This window comes from Homo sapiens, chromosome 7 (assembly GCF_000001405.40).
Source record: "Homo sapiens chromosome 7, GRCh38.p14 Primary Assembly".
NCBI classification, from domain to species: domain Eukaryota; kingdom Metazoa; phylum Chordata; class Mammalia; order Primates; family Hominidae; genus Homo; species Homo sapiens.
Window position 1 is genome coordinate 150,251,026 of NC_000007.14, and position 24,920 is coordinate 150,275,945.

Consider the following 24,920-nt stretch of genomic DNA (forward strand, 5'->3'; position numbering starts at 1 on the left):
AGAATGAGGGGCCTCTCTATTTTTTGCTGGTGTACCCCAATTCTCCCTATAGCACCTGGCATATAGTAGTCACTTGATAATATTTACTGAATGAACAGTGACACGTGTGACCTGTCCACCATGACCAGATCAGCATCAGATCTAGAGCAACAGTGGAAATATTCTCATTTCTAATTCAATGGTCGTTTATTGTCCCTAACTCTCCTGCCAAATTTAATTCTCAATATCTTACTCGTGTTCAACACTAAATTCTGATTACTTTATTGGTTGTTATTTTTCATAAGTTATTCTTAAACTTATGATGTCTTTAAAACTAAAATTAACTGCGTTTTTTTCCTATTTTAGGAAAAAATGAAGACAGGCTAATTTTGAGATAAATCAAATTTGAAAGAGAGTAAGATTTTTTTAATTTAATAAAAATGCTTTTACCCATTTTATAGAATTATAACAATATTCAACCCTTTTAAAACATGGTTGCTATAGATTTTCTCTATATCACAAGGAATTCAATACTATATTAGATATTAAAAGCCTAAAAACCTAAAGATTGATGATGGTTTGTGTCTGACAAGTTTTAAAATAATAAGGAAAATAGGTATAGGGAATGTATTGATAATAGAATGTACATTTTCTTAAGTATAGGCTAAATTAGATTTAGGATTGTATTAATTCCAAATGAATCATTTTATTAGCACTAGCTTAGAGGAATAATTTCTTCCATACACAGAAAATTACTGTGTATACTCAATATTACTAAGATATAAAAGCCATTAGGTTTTTGTTTATTATCCTTTTTCTGACTTTTCTCCATATAAGTGAGAAGCAATTATCACTTGAATCAACAATATATATTAATTTTTAAAAATAGAAATAAATATAAAGCAAGGTTATAATTTCTATGACCATAGGCTCTAAGAAACCTAACCCTGTGTTTTCCATAGAAACCATAGTCCAGCGTTTGCTCTGTTCCCAGCAACTTCATAGAACACAGCTACCATGAATAATGAGAATTGACACCACCTCTTTTTAAGCGCTTTAACTTCGACATTTCAATTTGGTTTAAAATTTTAATCCCTCCGTGTGTGTTTGTGTATGTGTCTGTGTGTGTGTGTGTGTGTGTGCATGTGTGTGTGTGTGTGTGTGCAATGAAAGAAAATACATACACTAATTCTCCAAAATTCCTATGGGTGACTTAATCAACATGTATTTCTGAAGTTCTTACTTTCATCAGCATTTTCTTAAGTTCTTTGGAGAACATGGACATATAAAGTATTCATTGCCCTGGCTCCAAAATGTGCAATTTAATGCAGCATACATTGCAAACAAATTTATAAGGAACATCATATTGTAACTAATAAGGGCTACAGGAGCTTACTGGCCTGTCCATACTCTAAAGACTAAAGTGGTCTAATGAAGGGGCTGCTTGGAGGATGCAGAGGCTGAAAATGGTAAGCATTAGGGCAGGTCAGAGAAAGGGCTGTTTATTTCAGGAAGAATACATGATACTAAGCATACCAGAGACATTACGGAAAGTAAATAAAGAGTAGATTTATACTATATGAAACATTTTAGAGTAATATGATGCAATTTACAGCTAATGGGAAAAGACTGCTAAGTTATTGCTGTGTCATAACTATTTTATTGTGATTTAAAAGCTTTGCATAAAACAATATCCAGTATCTTCAGAACTAATATTTTATTTGAAGTACCTTTCTATTAAAACTTCTCTGACCATCTAATTGTATTAAAAATAACATACTGGGAATAGGATGTATCCTCGAATTAAATTGCTTTTCAATGGCGTTAAGGTAAAATAATGCCTGTGTGTTTATTGTTTTTATTAATATGATATATTGTGTGATATCTGGGCCCAACAGCTATCTCAATTGTGGATGATATTTATATAAGAGCAAACTTTAAGCAGATGACAACTCTGCAGATTCTGCAGCGGTAAGCCCTTCTTGACTCTTTTCTGCAGGTTGTGGATGAGAGAGCTGCCCCATGGCTGGGCTGTTTTTACGTATACTGGCTGCTTACAGGATATCACGCTGCTGAATGACGTGTACTTGAAGACCAGCAGAGGGTGGTGGATGTGCCTCTGCCCACGCCGTGTAAAGATGGTGGCAGAGCGGGCCCAACAGCACCCTTGGAGTCTACACAAGAAGATAAAGTCATGCATGGGTAATGTCCTCTGGCTGGTTCTGAAATATATAAAGGCTGCCATTTTTCAGGGACAGAGCAAATTATCTTACACCTCTTTATCCTCTAGAATTTAATTTCAAGTTGCCTAAGTCTGCATAGCTTTCCAGTCTCAGGTGCAAATGGCCCTCAAGTCTCCTGATGTCCACTGAAGCTGTTTGGGGTTTTTGTTTTTACCCGATTTTAATATTTTTTTCTGTGATCCATGCAGAGCTCTAGCATCCTGACTTCTTTAACTAAATTAATACCTTTAATCTGATTGTAGTAAAGTTTTGCTGTAACCTGAGATCCCTTTTCTCTCCCTGGTGACATTGCATCATGCGTCTTTGGTTTTTTGTGGATTGATTTTATTGTTTAGCTCTCAGAGGATGTTCTTATTTCCAAGTAGCTGGAAATTACCAAATACCAATCATAATATCCAGAAGTACAAATTAATAATGGGATAGTAATAAATAGTACAATTTGTACTTATAGTTTATGCCGTTTTTCTAAATTACATGTTGATCCTTTTTAGTGGCAAGCGGCCCATCGGTATTGGCTATTGATAATAATTGAAACAATATGCCATGCGATCCCCTCTAACTGTGCAGATGTAATGAAGCATACATCTGCCAGATGGAAGAAGTTACAGTATAATGTACCCTGACTTGCTGTTGCAGGGTTGCTAAGTACAGTTTTTTTTCGTGTTTTTTTTTTTCCCCCAGCATTTTCACTGGTATCATTGGGTATAGACTCAGTCAGTAGGGTACCTAGCAGTCTGAGCTTGAAAACTTGAGAATTAATTTCAACACACCTTTGACTATTCCCTAATGTTCTCCACTTAAATGTGTCATAGTGAAGCCAAGGGTAACTAGTGTTTTGTGATGAAGAACTGTCCTTTCCTGTACCCACCTGCAAACTTGAGTATACATGTTGGGTGCTGAGTGCTAGAGAGAGAGAAATGATTTACCCCTCTTTAGAGATACCCCATATTGATGAGAGTGATGTGCTTGGGCATGGCTTGGAGAACCAGTGGGGTGTTTGGAATGATGGCTTTTGTCCATTTCAACATTGGAACCCTGATCCTATATTATAATAAGAAAGGTAGACACATGGCAGAATCAAGTATAAATTGCTTATCATAATGTTTGTAGTTCTTTGAGATATAAAAAAGCCTCCCAATTGTCCTATAGAACTGATGTTTATTGTTTCTTTTAAATAAACATAAAAATTGACCTTCCCAGTCTTAAAACTTAAACATGTTACATTTGTATTATCTGAGTTCCTTTCTCAGAAAATAAAGGATCAGGCCTCCCAGACAGTATCAAAGAGCGAAACTTACCAGATCATGGCATCTGGACCATGAGACACCAGACTCATCACCTGTGTTGATTACCTAAACCTGCTTCCTGTTGACCAGTTCTTCTTCTTTACCCCTCCCTTATTCCTGCTTTCCCACACTTGGTTACATTTCTTCCTCACTACATACACCCATCATTTCAGTTGCTCAGGCAGGTGGATTTAAGACTGATCTGCCATCTGCTCTCCTACAGCACCCAATTAAAGCTGTCTTCCATGGCAGTGCTCGTTATATCAATGACTGGCTTTCGGTGCAGCAAGCAACAGGACCTAGACTGAACCCCTGACATTCAGGTAACAAAACCAATTTCCAGAGGACATAGGCTTACTCTGCTACATTTCCTGTCTTCCTCGAATATGGCATCAAGTTTGAAAGTGGCCCTACAACTTTGATGAGTTGACTTTTATGACATTTAAATAAATATGCATTAAGCCAAATTGTCCCCAGGATTTTCCACAAAAATCTCATAATTATAGAGCCTGTGGTGTCTGAGTTCACTTCATTATTTTCCAGGAAAATTTTGAACTAGAAAAAAGAAAATAAAATGCTCCAAAAGTCACAGCGTAAGAACATGTCCTAATTCCCTGTAGATTGCGTGTTCAATGGAAGGAAATGCTCCTTGCTGGGGCGAAGATGCTTCCTAGGGCAATCAGAAATCTGCCAAAAGTTTTGTAGGGGATTTTTTTTTTTTTTTTTTTTTTTTTGCTTTCGAGTTTTTCTCTTATGGAGCAGGATAAATGGATCAGCCTGTTAACAGACTAGGCAGATGCCCAGCATATCTGAACTACATCATTTCTTTAGATTTAGTAGGGTTTTGACTTGAACGCTAGTAGGCTCCCATATGTCTTCCTGAAATCTAGACCTTAGGTGCCCTCTGTGGGGACTGCTGTGTATACCTGGACTCAATACACTTACCTAGTCAGATGAATATAAACTGTCAGTCTTGGATCACCTACCCACTCCCTTCAGAGTACAGAGTCAAGTTCACTGCAAGGGAGCAGGTTGCCCAGGGAGCCCAGTGCCCTTTAAAAAATGAACAGTGAAGAGATGGCTCTACATATGCAGACTCTTGCTAGTAACTAGCAGGAGAAACCATTTGCAGTGGCATGTCTTTGGAATGATCGTTTGCCAACAGCAAGAGAGAAGTATTTTCACCTTATAGTATAATTTACCCCAAGACACAGCTCCGTCCTTTCTTACCAAGGGTGCATATGTGTACATGAGTGTGTATATCTGAAGTTTACTCATTGATTAAGAAATATTGCAGGTTCTCTAAAGCTTGTATATCTTGGGCTATTACAAATTCTATTTGACTGGGAAAATAATATTTTTAGGAACTCACTCAAAAATGGACACATGCTTTGAAATAGAAATTTAAGTGGTTTCTCCAAGTAACAACAATCATGTGTTCCTTTCTTCCCACCTCTAGAGAAATACAAAACAGGGAAACAATGTAGAGATACATGAGAGTCAATTGGTTATCACTAAGTTGTTTTAAGACCCTACAGAAGCTGCATCCATGTGGCTGCAAAGGACATGATTTCATTTTTTATGACAGTGTAGTATTCCATGGAGTGTACGTACCACATTTTGTTTATCCAGTCCTCCATGGATGGACATCTAGGTTGAGTCCATGTCTTTACTATTGTGAATAGTTCTGCAATGAACATATAGGTACCTGTGTCTTCCTGGTAGAACAATTTATATTCCTTTGGGTATACACCCAGTAATGGGACTGCTGGGCCGAATGGTAGTTCTGTTTTAAGTTCTTTGAGAAATCTCCAAACTGCTTTCCACAGCAGCTGAACTAACTTACATTCCCATCAACAGTGTATAAGCATTCCCTTTCTCTGCAACCTCGCCAATATCTGTTGTTTTTTGACTTTCTTATAATAGCCATTCTAACTGATGTGAGAACTGATGTCAGATGTTAACACAGGAACAGAAAACCAAATACCGTTTATTGTCACTTATAAGTGGGTGTGAAACCCTGAGTACGTGTGGACACAAAGATGGGACCAATAGACACAGAAGCCTACTTGAGGAGGTAGGGTGGGAGTAGGATGAAGGTCCAAAAACTACCTGTTGTCTACTATGCTCACTACCCGCGTGACAAAATCATTTGTACACCAAACCCTAGTGACACATAATTTATACATGAACAAAACTGTGCATGTACCCCCAAACCTAAAATGAAAGTTGTAAAAAAAAAAATAAACACATGTGATGTGGGAGCAGAAAGCAAAAACAAAATTAGTTGGCTTAACTGACATGTAGAGAACATTCCACCCCAAAACAGCAAAATACACAGGCTTCTCAAGTAAACATGGTTCATTTAATAAGAATAATTATATCCTAATATATTAAAAACCTTAATAAACTCAAACCATATGGAGTATATTCTTGAATTGCAATGAAATTAACTACAAATAACTAACAAAAATGATATGATTGTCCCTGAATATTTGGAAATTAAAGTAATTCTAAATACTTATGGAGAAAACTGGGAATACTCAGAAAAATCAAAACATAGTTTGTACTAAAACAAAATGAGTATGTAACATATCAAAATTATGAGGTAGCTAAAGCAGGACTTTGAGGAAAAATTATAGCATTAAAAAAAGACCTTGCAGAAGGATAATGAGACTGAGGGCTGTTGAGTCGTTAATGGGTAAGGCTGGAAGCCAGAGGGCCTCTGTGCTAGTTTACAAGGAGGCTCATATCTCCTACAGTGGAAGGGAATGACATAGCTCAGACAATTAGGAAGACCTAATTTTTAGAACTGCAGAGCTCCAGGGACATATGAATGCATGGCTGAGGTCACTGCTCAGGTGAGAAAAGGACTGAGACCAGAGACCGTGGTACAAGGACATATGTCTGGACAGACATGTCTCCTTTCCTGCCAGGCCAATACCAAGAAGGAAATGCTAATATAGCCCAGTTTGGAACATGCTGGCCCTGATCAGGGAGGAGGGACTCTATACACCCAAAGAGTTGAATGAATTAGCTGTTTTGTATGAGCAGGAACCAGAGGAGCACTCCTGGGATTAGAAATGGTGCAACCATGTTCCTAGAGCAGCCCTTAGAAACTTGAAAACAGCAATGCCCAATACTCAGCAGAATGGAAATGCCCAAATTGCCCTGTCAGAAGCCAGAGGATATGCTGAAGGAAGCAGAGATTGTATATTATGTCAGACCAAAAGACCCAAGAGAAGGTCATAGTCCAAGAGAAGGAGCAGAAAGCTCACTCTTCACTAAGACCATAAAGAATGTGCTGGGAGAGGGGCACCATCATCAATAATAAGTTTGGTGGTGGCTCTTCTGGTGGTTGGAGAGGCAGTCAAAGGAGTCCACTCAACAACATCATGAAGATGATGGAGCTCCATGCCAGGAGAAGCCAGGTTCTGGGGCTTCACCGCTAGATGCCAGGAGGTTAGAGGTGCGACCAAGGGGGTGTGGCCCACAGGGACTTGAGGAGATGGTTAATAGAGTGTCTGTAGTGGGTAAATGAATAGGCAGCCAAGAAGAATGCTGCTTAACATCTATAACTAGGAAAAAAAGTTAGAACGGAGTATCAGAAAGTCAAGCACAGTCACACTGTTAACAAGTCCAAGTTCCTGCTCAGTTGCCAGACCTCAGCCAAATTTTCAAATTCAGAATCCACTGGCATTATTCCTAGGAAGAAAGACCCTACCATACCATGGCATATGCTGTGAAAACGCCCTCAATCTTCCTCAAAGGGACCTGTAGCCATTTACTTAGGCTTCTTTATACTGAGGAAAAAAGAATAACAAGCCATTTCAAAGACTACTTAATAAAGGGCCCGAATTGACATTGATTGACCCGAATAAAAATCCAAAGATCCATCATAGCCCAGCTTTGGAGCACAGAGGGCTATGAGAGTTAGGCCAAATTAGAAATTGTGGCTAAAGTCCACCTTTCAGTGGTCTGCTAGGTCCATGAATCTACTCAAAGGTCATTTCTACAATCTCCAAGTACATAATTGGAACTGACGTCCTTAGTAATTGTAGTAACCCCCTTATTGGGTTTCTGCAATGTGAGAAAAAAACTGTCATCATGGAGAAAGGCCAAGTGGAAACCTCTGAAATTCCCTCTCACCCCTCTGCCAAAATAGTAAGTAAAAAACAATATTGTATCCTGGGAGAGACAGAAAAGACTTGTGCCACCATTAAAGATCCAACATAAGAATACAGCAAGGGTGATCCCTGTTATGTCTCCATTTAACTCATCAATTTGGCTCCTGCAAAAGCTGGACAGATCCTGGAAAAAGACTATTGATGAGCACAGATGAATAAATAATAGCTGTGTTTGCAGACAGATATGGTATAGTTGCTGGAGCAGACAAATATGGCCTCATGTCTATTGCAGGCAACCATTGATTTGATAAATGTGTTTTTCCCATTCTAATTAGCAAAGATGATTAGAAATAATTCATATTCACTTGGAAGGGGCAAAAATATTCACTTACATTTTGCCTCAGGGTCATATTAATTCTCTCACCCTCCTGTATTGTGGTCTCTCCAGCCTTCCCCAGATCCTACTTTAATTTTCCCTAATAAGTCCTTTACTGTCTTCTTTTCAGAATATCTTCACAAACACAATGAGAATCTCAGAAGCTATAGAATGTCTGACACATACAAAAAGAAAGAAAGAAAAGACAGAAAGAAAAGAAAGAGAAAGAAGAAAGAAAAAGAAAGAAAGAAAGAAAAAGAAAGAAAGAAAGAAAAAGAGAGGAAAGAAAGGAAAGAAAGAAAGAAAGACAGAGAAAGAAAGAAAGAAATCTGAATTCAGGACTAGATCTAAAATAATAAAAATCAAAAACGAATATCTGACCCTATGAACTTAATTTTTGCCTATCAAAGTATTTTTCTGTTAGCTTGTTTTCTTTAAAATAAATTGAATAAGTTAAAAGTCAGCATGACCTAGTGAAGACTGTCAACCATGGCTGCATGTTAAAATAACCTAGAGAGCTTTAGAAAGAAAAAACAGCAAGGCCTTTAACCTGCTCCCAGAATTACCGATTTCATGGTCTGGATGAGCTTAGCCATTAGAATTTTGACAAGGAAATGAGTCTCCATTTTCTCCTGTCAGAGAGAAATAATATTTTTTATCCTAGATGGTCATTATAATGATCTAAGCAGCTGGAATACTCTTGCCCATGGCTTGCTTGCTCATTTCTGCCAAAAATTGTATAAAATATTTGCTTCTCAAAGGTGCCCCACCTGTCACCATAGCAAAGGTTGTGAGCTCCCCCATGACCCTCCTGCCTTGTCCCTGCTGGATTCCTCACCAGGGCACCTTAAAATACCCCATAGAATTAGTATGTTCACTTTGCTCATGGTTCATCTTCCTCTCCTGGCATGTAAGCTCCACAAAATAGGGAATTTTTGACCTTTTGTTCCGTACTGCAATATCTAGGTCAGAAGTTGGCAAACTACAGGCCGTGGGCTAAATATGCTCCAGTGCCTGTTTTTGCAAATAAAGTTGTATTGGAATGCAATCACCCATTGTGTATATATTGCCTATAACTGTTTTTGTACTGCCCTCAGTTGCAACAGAGGCTGCCTTGTGGCCTGCAAAATCGAAAATATTTATTATCTGGCCCTGTACAGAAAAAAGTTTGCCAATCTTTGGTATAGGAAAGTATCTGGCATGTAGTATATGCTTAATAATATTCTTTCATTTATTCAACAGGGTGTCTAGCACAAAATTAGCACACAAAAATGGTCAATTTTATGTTCTGTTTGATTACAAGTATGTCCAGATCAGAGAATCAAATCCCTAGAAATTCGTAGAGTAAAATGTTCATCCAAATGAATTAAAGTAATTGGAGTAGATAGTTTCTTTACCTTCATATCTTTTTTTGTTTGTTTTGTAGAGGGAAAGGGAAATGATTAGTAAAAGGGAGGTTTCAGTTCCTAATCCTTTTGTTGCTCACTTAATTTTTGTGCTTGTTTGCAAGTTTCAATTAATATCAATCAAAATAATTCTCCCTACTTTGTAAATGGTGTTCAATTGTTACCATGCAAAAGGTGAATTAACCTAGGACGGGGGTTCAGGCCTCTGGCTGCCCCCTAAGCTTCGGGGTCTGCGTGATCATCTTCTGGCAATCTAGAAGGGATGCTGTTTGGAAGCTGTGCTTACCATCATTACGCTGACATTGATTTTTAAATTGTCCATTAGTGTATTCATAAGGGAGCATATGCTTTTTTTGCTAGAAGCAAAACAGAACTTTATTAACAGAACCCTGACTTTTCCTTTCTTCTTCCACCTTTAAAGCTTGGTCTTTTATGAGATATGGACTTCTTTGCAGTCTGACAAACTTTGTAGACACTTCTCAAAATAAAGTTTATAAATGCTAAAGGAAGAAGAAGGAGAAAGCCATGAGATGACAAAGGCAATAAATTATATTGAAACTGTAGTACTAGAAATTGAAGTTTTTAAGCAAAACTTTAAAAGCAACAAATATTTGATATAATAACTTCTGTGATTCTGTATTTAATGTGGTGGATATAATAACAATTATAATTTCAAAGTCATGCTGAGAGTAAACTTTTCAAGATATTTGGAGCCACTGTGAATGTGATATTAAAATACTGAAAGTCATAATTTCTGCTGGTGAGACCGTCACAGGTATTGCTAATGCAACTGTGGCTGCTGCCTGGATGCATAATGGAAGTAGAGGCTAAATTTCGGTTAGCAGAAAAGGAAATCAGATGTAATTTTTCCCTTGTATTCTTTCTAACTCTTTTTCTACTTGAAGCATTAAATTTACTTGTGCACTCTCTAGCCTGTTTCTTCCTCAGAAAGTATCCTCCACCTTTTGCCCATTTAACATTCTGACAAATTTGAGTCCATACATTTTTATTACTCCAAAAGAGGTACCTTTTAAACTGTACCTTTATCAGGAGTTGGAGATCAGCCTGGCCAACATGGTGAAACCCCGTCTCTACTAAAAACACAAAAAATTAGCAGGGCGTGGTGGCACATGCCTATAATCCCAGCTACTTGGGAGGCTGAGGCAGCAGAATTGCTTGAACCGGGGAGGCAGAGGTTGCGGTGAGCAGAGATCACGCCATTACACTCCAGCCTGGGCAACAGAGCAAGACTCCATCTCATAAATAAATAAATAAATAAATAAACTGTACCTTTAGAGTCCCAGTGAGATCTTATTTTCCTTCTAAAGAAATTGCTGACAGTGGCCCCTAATGTCATATACTGAAGTACTAGCTCCTGAAATCTTAGCACAGGTGTACTAGGAATTCTACTTATGTTTATAATTAGTCTCGATCCACATTAGTCAATTTGGCATAGCTAGTGCACAGTCTGAAAGCTGGTGAGATAGATGTAGAGTTGCAAAATTTTCAATTTATCTATTAGGCAGCAGGAGGCTACAGTGGGCCCTATGCAAAACAATTCATGTAGCATTATGGGAATTTGTCCTTTGCACTTCCTGGCTATCTTGCTTTTATGTGCATTTATTACTAAGAAGTTGTACTCATGGAGTATTGTATTATCATTGTTGATAAAATAATAATGATATTTTGCAGTCACCATGCATCTTTCTTTGTTCCCTGACTTTGTTTGCACAGGAAAATTAAAGAAACAAATTGCCGTTTAGTACTTTTCCACCTCTGCAGTAAAAAATCGTCAGGAAAGCACAAGCTCAGAATTATCAATGAGCAGATGCTAACAGGTTATGAAACTATGCAAATCAAAGTACACTTGAACAAATGAACTGAAGTTGCTGCCTTGTCAACTTAGACATAGCTGGTGGAACTCAGTAATGGATGTTAGGGAAAATGTTGAAAATAGAAATGTCTGTAACTTTTTTTTTCTCTAAACCGAGCCTTTTCTGGGTGGGAAGAAGTACTGATAAATTTACAAACTCTGTTTTGCTTACCCAGTGACATTGTCCTCCCCTTACATTCTTGCTGCAAGATACCCATTTTCCTTTCTCCCATGAAATGAGATTTTAGGCACATAAACTTATGCTGATCCAGGAGATGTGAGATAAGGCAGGGCTAAGAGTTTCCCAACTGATGTCAGTCGTTAAAACAAAGAAAAAATACTGATAGCAATTTTATATCATGTAAAATAGATGTCCCCTAGGTTTCCATCTACATCTAACATTTTATGATTCTAATATAATCTTACAAAATAATAATAAATGGAAAACTGGAGAGCAATGATTATTTGATTAGAGTAGTAGGAAAACACTGAAAATTACTATGTACCAGGATTTCAGATGGGTATTGCGAAATAAGAATAAAAAAGATATCTCGCCCCCAAGGGCTTGAAAGTGAAATAAAAGAGACAAACAATAATCTGTTCATTAAAAAACTGTGTGATGAATGCCTTGAGAGAGATAAGTACAGGTTGCTAAAGCAGCAAAGACGTTCAAAGAAGACTTCCTAGCGGGTGTGGTACTTGAAGTAAGATGAGATGTAACGAACTAGAAGACTCTGTCTAAATGAAGAGAGGTATGGAGGCTTCCTATTTAGAGAAAACAGTAGGAAGTCGGAAGAGATGAGCACATTAAAGAAATGATGATAATTTAATATGGCCACAGGAGTCCACAAATTGTACAGGTGAACATATGTCCCCCATATATTCACCTATACAATTTAAAGCAGAAACATATGTATAGTCCAGTGGCGATCTGGGGCCAAGATGTTCTGTGAGTAATAAAGACTGTTCTCTTATCTGGAGACCTCATATTTCCTGTAAGAATCCATCTGTCTGTCTATCTAATCATCGTTTCTGTCTATCTTTCTATTTTATCTATACTTCTTTCTAGCCATGATGCTATTAAGAGAATTGTTGGCCTGGAAAATAGATCTGGAGAAAGTACAATGTTGCCGCTTAGAGAACTACCAAGTTTAAGACAGGTAAAGAAACAGAGGATTAAGTAAGAAGTCTCAAATTAATCCCTTTGAAGTATCAGAAAGAGACAACACAGGATGTGGAAAAGAGACACTATTTGAAGAGACTATGAAAGGGAATTGTCTATGATTGTTCAAAAGCCAATCTTCAGATTCAGAAATCCCAGTGAATCCTATGCAGGAGAAATAAAAAGAAATCTATACCTAGAAATATGAGACTGAAAACGAAGAACAACGTGGACAAACAGTCTTTGCCTTTCAGAGGGAAAAAGACAGAATATCTGCAAAGAAATGATCATTAGCTTAAGAGCTACTTTCTCAATCATTTGAATGTTTTAAATGCATTCATTTCAGATTTTTCTTCTAAATAGCAATTCTATTTGTTTCCTACACTAAAAATAAATAAATAAAACAAAAATCATTTCATGGCTGAATCTTTATTTTCACTTAAGCAAATACTCAGGAAGACAGCTGCAGGTGGAAGCTATGACTATGCTGAGCTCTCAGCGGGGGCTAAGGCAGGCAGGGCCCTGGCCGATGGCAGATCATCCCTCAGGCGTCCCTGTACTCCACTTTTCCTGAGCGCCGGGAGAGCTGCACACACCACCCCACGAGTAGGCCCCTAAAACAGAGCCAAGTCACTTCAGGAGTGGCATCCATCTCAAGAGATTCTGTGAAGGGAGGTCACAACCCAGCAACAGGCGGGGGCCAAACATCCCTCATTCGCGCTGCTCCTTTGCGATTCAGAATCCCTGCTTCCTCACCGTGAAACGTCATGTGAGCTCCAAGTGTCCAGCTCAGCACGGAATAGAGCTCCTTGCGGTCAGCACTGTGCATGGGCACCATCAGCGTGGCCACAGACAGTGAACTTTAAAACTAGGCAACAAATAAAACCTGAAGACAACACTGCATGAATACTGGCAAGATTTGGGATGGCCTGTGCCATCAAGGTGCTTCTGGAGAAGTTAGAAAACTCAGAAAGGAACATCATGAGCTCAGAAAGTACGCAGCAAATGAGAAGAATGTGGAACAGGAGAGACAGAAAAAGGGCAAAAAATGAAAACACTAACTGAGGGGTGCTCTGAGTCCAGGTTATAATGTATATTACCCAGCATATACTGTATATAAATGTATATTAAAACTTCAAAGCAAAGACAAGTTGAAGAAAACAAAAGTCCCTAAACCGAGTCGATTAAGACACTCACAGTTGCAGGTGGTGGATAAGACAGCAACGGACCCCACTTGGCCATGGCAAGTGGACAAGATGGTCTCACCAACCAGGTCGACCACTGTATGAGAGCTCACCGGTTGTACTAATTTCCTCTAAATCCTCTCAGATTTACTTCTGGCCTAGAAGTAGATAATCTGTATCTGGTAGCATTACAGGCTTTTTCTGTTGACTTTGCTGTGGTAGAAAATAGATCAAATACAAAAGAGGACTTAACAAATACAATCAGACTCACATTAAATCCTTGGAGTGATACCCGAACTGAACAGTAACTCCACCTTCTTAAGACATACATGGGCTCTTGTGCATAAGGCTCTGTAATAATTTTTACCACTGTAATCAAACTAGGTCACCAAAAAGATAGTGAGAGATAAAATTTATCCTCAGAAAACTTCAAAAAGGCCAGTTTACCCAGCCAAACTGAGAGCTGGATTTCAGACAATAAGAAAGAATTTGTAACAGAAGACATCATCATAAAACTTTTTTTCTTGAAATGGTAAGTGACCATTACATCTAGAATGGCCATTTAGTTTTCAGATAAATTTCTATTTCAAATAAACGTAAGCCTAACAACCTAGTTTTTTTAAATCACTATTATGGCTAATTTAATACATTTAAATTCCACTTTTATGTAAAAGGCAAATATTAAGCCAACAAATTAATGTAATAGATTTTTTTAAAAAAACATTTTATTTAAAAAAAAAAAGTTTTTTAGGTCTGGCATGATGGCTTATGCCTGTAATCTCAGCACTTTGGGAGGCCGAGGCAGGCGGATCACCTGAGGTCAGGAGTTAGAGACCAGCCTGGCCAACATGGTGAAACCCCATCTCTACTAAAAATACACAAATTAGCTGGGCATGGTGGCACACACCTGTAATCCCAGCTACTCAGGAGGCTGAGGCAGGAGAATCGCTTGAACCCGGGAGGCGGAGGTTGCAGTGAGCCGAGATGGCACCATTACACTCCACCCTGGGCAACTCCATCTCAAAAACATAAAAATAAATAATTTTTTAATTTAGAAAGAATTTCAAGCTCAGCAAAAGTGATACACTCTTTATTCAGATTTACCTACTGTTAACATTTCTGGTAGAGTGTTTTTATTTATCGTTTGCATGCATTTATTCTGTCCCCTCCCACACGCACACACATCTAGGAGCGGGGAGCATCTGAGAGTAACTTATATACATCATGGCCCTTTACTACTAAATACTTTAGTGTGTATTTACTAAAACTGAGAACGTTCTTTTACGTTACCACAGTACAACTGCCAACTTCATAAACTTAACATTAATACAGAACTTTAATCTGCTGTTCCTATTCCCATTTTGCTACTTGATTTATTAATATTCTTTAAGGCATTTTTTTTCTCTCCAGTCCAGAGTCCAGTGCAGGGTAAGACTGTGCAATTACTTGTCATGTCTCTGTAATAGGTTTTTTAACTAAAAAATTATTCAGTAGGGTATGAAAATAAATGTTTATTATAATACTTGAGAAGTATTACATGATCTTGAATTTCCTTCAAAGGCATTATATAAATTCATTTCTTTTATTCACATAACCATACAAACAGTGCTATGCATATGTGGTCAAATGATTTTAGACAAAGTCATCAGGATACTTCAATAGGGAAATAACAGTCTTCTTCAACAAATGATGTGGGAATAATTGATATCCATGGAGTGAGAGGATGAACATTTATTTACTTTCTCATTTCATATACACAAATTAACTCAAAATTTATCACTGAGTTAAATGTAAGGGCTAAAAGCACAAAATTTCTTTGAAAAACCATTTTTTAAAAACTTCGTAATTTTGTGGTAGGCAAAAATTTCTTAGCTAGCACATAAAAAAGCATGAACCATAAAAGAAAAAAGTTTATAAATGGGGTTCCATACATTTCTGTTCTTCAAAAACCACCACTAAGAAAATGAAAAGACAAGCCACAGACTAGAAAAAAAATCTGCAACACATAAATCTGACAAAGAATTTGTATCTAGGATATCTGAAGAACTCTTACTATTGAGTTGTCACTCAATAAACAAATCAATGAAAAATGGGCAAAAGATTCAAATGGACATTTCACAGAAGAAAATATACAAATGACCGCTAAGTACAGGAAAAGACAGTCAACAATATTTGTCATCAGGATCATACAGCTTAAATCCACCACACACCAAGTCTGGGTTAAGACGAACAACTGCAACTCTTGTACACTGTTGGTGGGAGGGTAGATGCTGTAAGTACTTTGGAAAAACTTAACCATACAACACAGCAACTGCACTCCTGGGTACTTCCCAAGGAGAATAAAACATATTCAGCAGACACTGAGTACATTTCCAATGTTCATAGCAGGGTTTTTTGTAATAGCTAAGACTGGAAACAACTCAAATGTCCACCAGCAGGGGACGGCTGACTTGTGGCACAGTCGCTCGCTGAGGCGCTCCCAGCAGAAAGAAGCGTCAAATGACATGCACACCTCAAAAGCACCGAGTGAAGGAAGCCGGAAACAGAGAACACGCGGAGCACTCCATTTCCAGCAGCCCCCCATTATCTGCGGCTCACGCTCCACGGTGTCAGTTACCCGTGGTCAGCCACAGTCTGAAAAGATTAAATGGAAAATTCCAGAAATAAACACTTTGTAGGTTTTAAACTGCACACCATTCTGAGAAGTATGATGAAATCTCGAGCTGTCCCACTCTGTCCCGCTTAGGGCACGAGTCTCTTCTCTTTGTCCAGCATGTCCACACCGTATACGCCACCTGCCCTGAGTCACTCAGTAGCCACCTTAGTGGTCAGACCGACTACTGCAGCATCACAGTGCTTGAGTTCAGGTGACCTTCCCTTTATTTAATAATAGCCCCACAGCACGAGAGTGGTGATGCTAACACACTGTTATAACTGATCCATATTATTATTAGTTATTGCTGCTAGTCTCTTACTGTGCCTAATTTATAAACTTTATCAAAAGTATGTATGTACAGGAAAAAAAGATCATATACAGAGGGTGTGGTACCATCTACAGTTTCAACCATCCACTGGGGGTCTTGGGACGCATGCCCCACGGATAAGAAGGGACTCCTGTATATGAAACTTCGGGAAATCAAATCCCATCTACAGTGACAGGAAGCAGATGGGTGCCTTCCTGGAGCAGGGGCTGAGGAACTTCTGCCAGCGATGGTTCCCTTCTGTACCTTAACTGTGGTGATTATCACGTTAAGTATGTAAACTTGTCACATCTTTTCAAACCGTACACTTACAATGGTTCATTTGACTCTATATAAATTATATCTCAAAGTTGAACCTTTTAAACAGAGCAACAGAAGACAAAGTGATGGCAAGGGGCCACTCTGAGTTGAGAGGGCAGGAATGGCCTTGCTGAAAAGGTGGCATCGGGGACTTAAATGAGAAGAAAGATGCCCTAAAGAGGGTGTACATTTGGCCAATGTGTACAGTCTCTAACTCTTCATTTCTCAATGTTCTGTAACTGTGTGAGGACATAAGATTGAGCCAAGTCACCCAATTTTATTTTAACATTTTTAACATTGAATCCCCCATAGTTGCTATGGACAACAGGAAAACAATATGCACTATACTTCCAGGCCTTTCCTAAAAGCAAACTCCAGCTCCCACCCTAGTTCCACGTCTTGCTTTGTGTTCAGAAATTCTCATGTGAACCAGTAAACTCAACAAACCCTTTACTATTTAAGAAGGAACAACCCTTGATCTCTACTCACTCCTCCCCAAAGTAACGGTCCACCCTGTTCCTTCCGCCCTCTGAATACACTCCTGTTGTCCCCACCCTCCAGCCCAACTCCTCCCCACTGGCAAATGTCCTCTTTCACACAGACACACTTTACAGAGGACTCTGGGAGAAAGCGAGAGCTTCTGTGCCCCAGGCCAAATAACAGGTTTAAAACTCGTGTTTTGCTCCTGCCTGAGCTTCGGAACACGACAACTACCAGCAGATACATCCCCACGTCCACTGTCTACACGGATGTGGCACACACAGCGGGTTCCGGATCTGTAAGAACGCAGAGTTGGTGAGGTCTCTTGCACACGCGCCACCAGGCAGGCTGCCGTCCTACATGTCTCCCGCCAGCTCTGCCCAGATACTGTTTCTACATTAATGCTGCAAAGTGCTCTCATTTTCATCATGTTGAGCTTCAGCCTAGAATTACTGAACTGAACTTTATCTCTATCCACAGAAGAACTACAGCCTGCGGTTAGAAAGGTCCCTGTGTGGGCACGTCCTGGGGGAGGCCGGCCAGAGCAGAGCTGTCCCGGACGGCGCCTCCCAAGGACAAGGTCGAGGGAGCTGGCTCGTACTTCAGCAGCCCCTGAACCGCCCGGCCCTAAGCCGTCCTGCACCACCCATGGGGCCGACTCCCGGCTGCAACTCTTTCCCCTCACCCCGCCGCCGACAGCAGAAGTTTCAGGGGACAAGGGGGACCTGCCAGAGCGAGAGTGGAGGGTGGAATACAGTCTAAAAGGAACATACAAGTGTTAAGTGACAGGCTCTATGGAACTGCCGGAGCAGAGCCCAGCAGAAGACAAGCGTTTAAGAAGACAAAGCAGTAGAAACCCCGTTTTCCTGACAGGGCGTTCGGAGCCCTTCACAATCTGACCCCAGCCTACTCCCTGGAGCCAGGTGGGGATGCCCAAAGGCCTCACACTCCCCCCGCTGTCTGGTGCTGGGGCCTGAAGCAAGCAGCAAACCCCCCCACCCGTGGGCTCCCACGCCCTCATCTGTGAAGACATCACCAGGCCGCTCGCAGGTCTGAGGGGAAATTAGAGGGTAATGGCGTCAGCACCGGCCCAGGGAAGGCAGGACGGCGACAAGCACAGTGGGTTCTCTTGTTTGGCCCTCTCCGCCCTGGGCCATGCAGAGGCTGGAGCAGGGCCAGGTCTACACCCGGTCCGTCCACTCCTCCCTGAAGCCGCCACTACACACAGCGCTCGGTAAGCAGGGGCCCTCCCCAGGCATCGTGGAATGAACGAGGAGCATTTCACTTGCTCTACCCTCTGGAATAAAAGGGGGTCAGTAAGGGAAAAAAGACTCCAGCAAGTAACTCAAGAACCAGAAACAATAACTGACAATTTCTGATTAAGTCCTTGGACTCTGGTAACCTCCTAATGTTTCTCCCTAGTGCGCGGGTTCTCAATCAGGGACAATTGTGCCTCCAGGGGACATTAAGCAACATCTGGAGATGATTTTGATTGTCAGGACTGGGTGGGGGTGGGAAGGTGCTACTGGCACTTTGTGGGTAGAGGCCAGAGATGCTGCTAAACATCCTACAATGGAAATGTCAACAGCACCAAGGCTAAGAAACCCTGCCCTAGTTAGCGCTGAGCAGTAAAACCAAAGGTGCCTGTACACCAGCAAAGAGGGCCACTGGGGAAGTGGTGTGCCACTCTGCAGCTAACCCGAGATGTGCAGGAGTCCCAAAAGGCAGCGGCTGCTCAGGGCAAAAAAGCAAAGGAAACCAGGCAAAATCCCTGGGAACTTTAAAAATAGAAAAGTCAATCGGCTAGAGGCCGCAGCGGGTGAGGAATCTGCTGCCCTGGCCTGGATGTGGAGCGCGATTCCAGAATATCACTTGAAGTCATTTCATGGAATACAATCACAGTGCTTACGCGCTGCCTGACACAGCTGAAGGCAATTCCACACACCAACTCCTTTCACCTTGCCAATAATGGGATAAAGCAGGTACTATTCCCATCCCCATTCTGCCGAGAAGGACGCTGAGGCACAGTGAGATCAAGTAACCTGCCAAAGTCACACAACTGAACAAGCAGTAGGCAGGGCAGAACACACACCTGGCAGTCTAGAAGCTCTCGGTCACGTGGCATCCACACCTGCAGACCTCATGCTCACCACCATGCAGGATCCACGCACTCAACACACATGGGCGCCACCCCCCCGCCCTGCAGCCCATGTGCTCAGCACAGCACTCTAACCACCAGTCCACACTGCCTCCCTTCCTGTGACACAGAATTCGGACCCCACCTTGTATAGACCAATTTGTAAAGTAGCTCTCCCTGTGCTGAGCTGAAATCTGGTACCCACCTGGCCCTGGTTTCTCTCTTTCCTTGGCACTGCTCACCGTCTAGCTGCCCATCACATGTCCCAAGACAGCCTCATGCTCCCTGCCAGGTCGCAAGTCAAACAATGCTACTTCCCTCAACCATTTCTCACAGGTCATCTTTTCAGGAACTCTTGCTGTTCTGGGGATGCTCCTCTGGATATACTTCAAAATCCAACAACAACCCTCTTATAATGTGGACTCCCCTCCACAGCAGAACACAACACCATCAACACAGCATGTCTCCCCAGGACAAACAGAAAGACTCTGAAGCAGTGAGGTGGAACCCTGCCCTTGAGGGCCAATCAACGTCAAATGACTTGCCATCTCCTAATAGAGCAAAAAGTGGTCAGTGGCTGTAAAAACCTCCACGTCTGACACAGTGGGAAATGGAGGAAGCATTACTACTTTTTAAATTATTATTATACTTTAAGTTCTGGGGTACATGTGCAGAACGTGCAGGTTTGTTACACAGGTATACACGTGCCACGGTGGTTTGCTGCACCCACCAACCCGTCATCTACATTAGGTATCTCTCCTAATGCTCTCCCTCCCCTAACAGGCCCACCAACAGGCCCGGATGTGTGGTGTTCTCCTCCCTGTGTCCATGTCTTCTCATTGTTCAACTCCCACTTACGAGTGAGAACCTGCAGTGTTTGGTTTTCTGTTCCTGTGATAGTTTGCTGAGAATGATGGTTTCCAGCTTCATCCATGTCCCTGCAAAGGACATGAACTCATCCTTTTTTATGGCTTCATAGTATTCCATGGTGTATATGTGCCACATTTTGTTTATCCAGTCTATCAGTGATAGGCATTTGGGTTGGTTCCAAGTCTTTGCTATTATGAACAGTGCTGCAATAAACATACGTGTGCATGTGTCTTTATAGCAGAATGATTTATAGTCCTTTGGGTATATACCCAGTAATGGGATTGCTGGGTCAAATGGTATTTCTGGTTCTAGATCCTTAGTCCCTTTGGAGGAAAAGAAATGAACCCATTCTTACCACCAACCACCATGTTGCACATGACAAACAGAAAATCAAAAATTAAGTGTTACAGTAACTGAAACCAAGGAAAACCTTTCTTGTCTTAACACTCAACTACAAAAGCATACCTCCCCCCTCGCCCAGATGAAATGGAAACACTTTAATGGAAGGGTTATTTCCATTCTAAAAGTTACTTTATACAAGGAAAAGGAAAAAGCCCTAGACCCAACTTCGCAGGCTTCACAGCCCCTCACACTGTCAGCATCCCTTTCCTGGTGCTTGAAAACATAAGAAATAAATTAGAGAGCAAACCACAACAAAGTCGGTTTGAAGCCTCTCAGCCATGCCTACGACAAACCATTTCTCAGTGTGACAGGTACTGTTATTACCAACACACAATCCAATTTTCTCTGAGAAAATGACATGGTTGAGAGTCTGCCTCTCATTCCTAAAATGTATTCAGCAGGAGTCTTGATGGGAGATTAAACACAAGGAGACGTCCCCCGAGCAGCTGAGGGGCGGGATCAGGAGAGAAGAGACTGTCCCCACTTATTTTCTTAGTACCCCTTCTCTAACTTTAGCTAGCTTGCTTGCATCAAAGTAAAACTGGTTTTCTAACTAGTCTTTTATGAGGATTAAAACGTTGTCTGAGCTTATTATTTTTCAACTCAAGTGACTATCCAGAACTACTATGATGGCTTAAATGTGGCTTACAGGCGTCACTTGCTTTGGTTTCTTATCACCTATGCTTGTTTCACCTTCAGAGTGAGGAAAAAGCAGAAAAAAAGAGAAACGTGAAATTACCAATAAATGTATTCTTTCCATCTCATCTCAAAGTAAAGCAACAGTGCTTACTCTAATAATTCTGTACCTCAGAAATATATACATTTAGCCTAATAGTGTCTTTTTTGTGTGTTTTTTTGGTTTTTTTTTTTTTTTTTTGAGACAAGGTCTCACTCTGTCACCCAGGTGGGACTACAGTGGTGCAATCCTAACTCCCTGTAGCCTCCACCTCCCAGGCTCAAGCAATCCTGCTGCCTCAGTCTCCCAAGTAGCTGAGACTACAGGTGCATCCAACACATCCAGCTAATTTTTTAAATTTTTCTTTTGTAGAGATGGGGTCTTGCTATGTCAACCAGGCTGGTTTCCAGCTCCTGGTCTTAAACAATCCTCCTTCCTCAGCCCCCTAAAGTGCTGGGATTACACACATGAGCCATGAAGGCCGGCCTGCATTCTTAATCAATTTCCACAAGGAAGAGTAAGTAAACATTTTTCTAAGAAATAAAGAAAAGATGTCATAAATAATAACATTTTAACATTTTAAAATAAAATCCCTTTACTTACAGAAAAGAAGCAGATTATCCCACACAACAGTCTGAAAGAAAGCTCTCATCAGCGAATCTAGCACAGACAAAACATTTTAAAATGCCCTATTCATCTAATACTGTTTTCAAAGTAATGACAGAAATAGCATACATCACTGCTTTATTTCACTGCTTATAGAGCACAGACCAACCTTTTTTTTTTTTGAAATAGGGTGTCCCTTTGTCGCTAAGGCTGGAGCGCAGTGGTGCAATCACAGCTCACTGCAGCCTCGACCTTCTGGGCTCAAGGGATCCTCCCACCTCAGCCTCCCAAGTAGCTGGGACCACAGGTGCGTTCCACCACAGCTGGCTAATTTTTTTGGTAGATGGGGTCTCCCTGTGTTGCCCAGGCTGGTCTCAAACTCCTGGGCTCAAGCAATTCTGCCTTGGCCTCCCGAAGTGATGGGATTACAGAGGCGTGAGCCCCTGCACCCAGCTTAACATGACTTCCTAAAATCAGATTCTGAACTCAAGGTTTGTTTACTTTCGCAGTTTAACAAATATTTACTGAGCCTATCTTTTGAAATCCTTCCTTCAGTAAGATTATAGAGTTGGTCTTCAAATCTAAAGTCAAACCCCCCAGACAGCAGACAAAGGCCCCTCAGGTCTCACCCCAACCTGTACCCCCGCCCTCCGGCCTCCACATCTCTGTGGTCTTGCAGACTCTGAGCATCTCTGAGGGATGTCTCTAGTGCCTGGAAAGCCCTCACTCACCACCTCACCAGCCTGGCAACCCCTCCTTCCCTGACTCCTCTGTGAGAGCGCAAAGCCCCCAGGCCCCATAGCCTGCCGTGCATCTCGTTCACCAGGTCAGCAGCATTTACTGAGCACCTCGCATGGGCCAGGAGTGTTCTAAGCACCACGGGTCAGCAATGAATCTGACATATCAAAATGGTCGCCCTCTTGAGATGTGTTTCAGGTAGGGAGACAGAACTATTAAGTATAAATAACTAAAATATATAGCAAATTAGGAGATGAATGTTATGGAGAAAAAAATAAAGCAAGGCTGGGCAAAATGACGTGGGAAAAAGCGCCGAGGTGCAGTCTAGAGCAGGGTGGTCAGGACGCCTCACTAGAAGATGGCATTTATTGCACTTCGCCCATAATGTGTTTGTTACCAACTGAAGGTTTGAGGAAACGGCACCAAGCAGGTCTGTCAGCGCCATTTTCCCAAAAGCACACGCTCACTTCGTGTCTCTGTATCAGCATATTTTAGCAATAACATATTTTTTAAATGAAGGTATGTACACTGGTTTTTTAGACATAATGCTATTATACACTTAAACCATAATATAGTGCAAACATAGCCTTCATGTGCACCAGGAAACCAAAAAATGTGTGTGGCTCACTTCATTGCACCATTCACTTCACTGGGATGGTCCGAAACTGAACCCACAAAATCTCCAAGTTATGCCTGTAGTAATATCTATCACATATCAAGTACTACACTTCAGCCTGTGTAAGGGTGACCTAATAATTCCATGAGACGCTTACGCCTGGCCCATCCTGCACCTGAGGACGCAGGGGCTGGGGAATGAGTGCAGTCACGATGCTAGGAAGCGGCTCAGCCCACGTGGAGACCCACGCAGCTTGGCCCTGACGCCTATACTCTTAACCACGACAAACTAAAAATAATACTGCTCAAAACGCTTCCCACAAAAGCCAAAAGCCAATATGATCGATTCTAAAAAAAACACTTAATTCAGAAAACAAAGTGATCCCTTATCACTTTTGATACAGTGTGAGAAATCAGCAGATCTCCTGGATGACGTTCTGGCGGTCAGCAGTCTTCTGGACACTTTCCGGACACCAGCCCACAGTCATTCCCTCCCACAGCCCACTCAGAACTGCAACTGGAAATCCAAACGCATTCAAAAACTGGCTAAGGCAGGTCAGCATTTTAGCCAGAAAGTATCTGCTTCACTCAAGCCAGCAGATTCTCAAATCACAATCATTTGACTCAAAAAGCACCATTAGTTACAGACTCCTGTGTATGCCAGATTATGCCAGAAAAGCATACATGTCCTGGTAATGCAATAAATCTTGACCTAAGCTAGAAGAGTGTCAAAAACCTAAATACAGAAAAAAGAGTGGGTATCGAAACAGACACAGCATGGAGCATCAGGCCTCATTACAAATCATGTTTTTAAAGAATTTCAGTCGCTTAAGAAAGGGCTCACAACATAATGCTGTTAATACATAGCATATGAAACATAAATACAAGAGGACATATCTATCCACCTATTTACAGTTCATGAAAATAAAAGGGAAAGATGAAGTAATAACATAAACAGCGACAACCAGGCGCGGTGGCTCACACTTGTAATCCCAGCACTTCGGGAGGCCGAGGCAGGCAGATCACCTGAGGTCAGGAGTTCGAGACCAGCCTGGCCAACATGGCGAAACCCCGTCTCTACTAAAAATACAAAAATCAGCCAGGCGTGGTGGCGGGCACCTGTAATCCCAGCTACTTCGGAGGCTGAGGCTGGAGAATTGCTTGAATCCAGGAGGCAGAGGTTGCAGTCACTGGAGATTACACCACTGCACTCCAGGCTGGGTGACAAGAGCGAAAACTCTGTCTCAAAAAAAAAACAAAACAAAAACAGCGACTACAAAGGAGTAACTTCTCCTTTGTAAAAGTGTTTTTTACATCTCAAATTTTCTAAATTGAACATGAATTTTAGATTGGAAATCATGCACTCTGCTCATCTGTAGAGTCTAAGTTCTCTTCGGTGCACCTCTGACCACCCTCCTCCCTTCAACCCCGTCTCACGGCACACCTTGCTTCCCACCCGGGGTCAGCCACCGTCTATTT

General features: G+C 41.2%; 1 protein-coding gene across 17 annotated transcripts in view, besides 1 other annotated feature; it reads right to left on the minus strand.

Annotated features, from left to right (window-relative positions):
• Positions 1 to 24,920, minus strand: part of ACTR3C (actin related protein 3C) — a 442,186-nt gene that overhangs the window by 369,666 nt on the left and 47,600 nt on the right. The window contains exon 7 of one of the 17 annotated variants that reach the window (XM_005250043.5): positions 12,863 to 13,849. The exons of 15 other annotated variants lie outside the window; for them this stretch is intronic. In XM_005250043.5, coding sequence (XP_005250100.3) covers positions 13,784 to 13,849 — 66 coding nt within the window. In that variant the 3' untranslated portion in view covers positions 12,863 to 13,783. Of the gene's footprint in view, positions 1 to 12,862; positions 13,850 to 15,127; positions 16,271 to 24,920 lie in introns of those variants that run through there. One more of the 17 variants, XM_011516511.4, reaches the window with a different exon arrangement.
• Positions 17,889 to 18,389: an enhancer, noted in NCBI's record as "H3K4me1 hESC enhancer chr7:149966003-149966503 (GRCh37/hg19 assembly coordinates)". NCBI's record gives its function as "activates a minimal SCP1, AML or CMV promoter by ChIP-STARR-seq in naive H9 embryonic stem cells {active_cell/tissue: H9 hESC(naive)}" and the evidence as "EXISTENCE:reporter gene assay evidence [ECO:0000049][PMID:30033119]".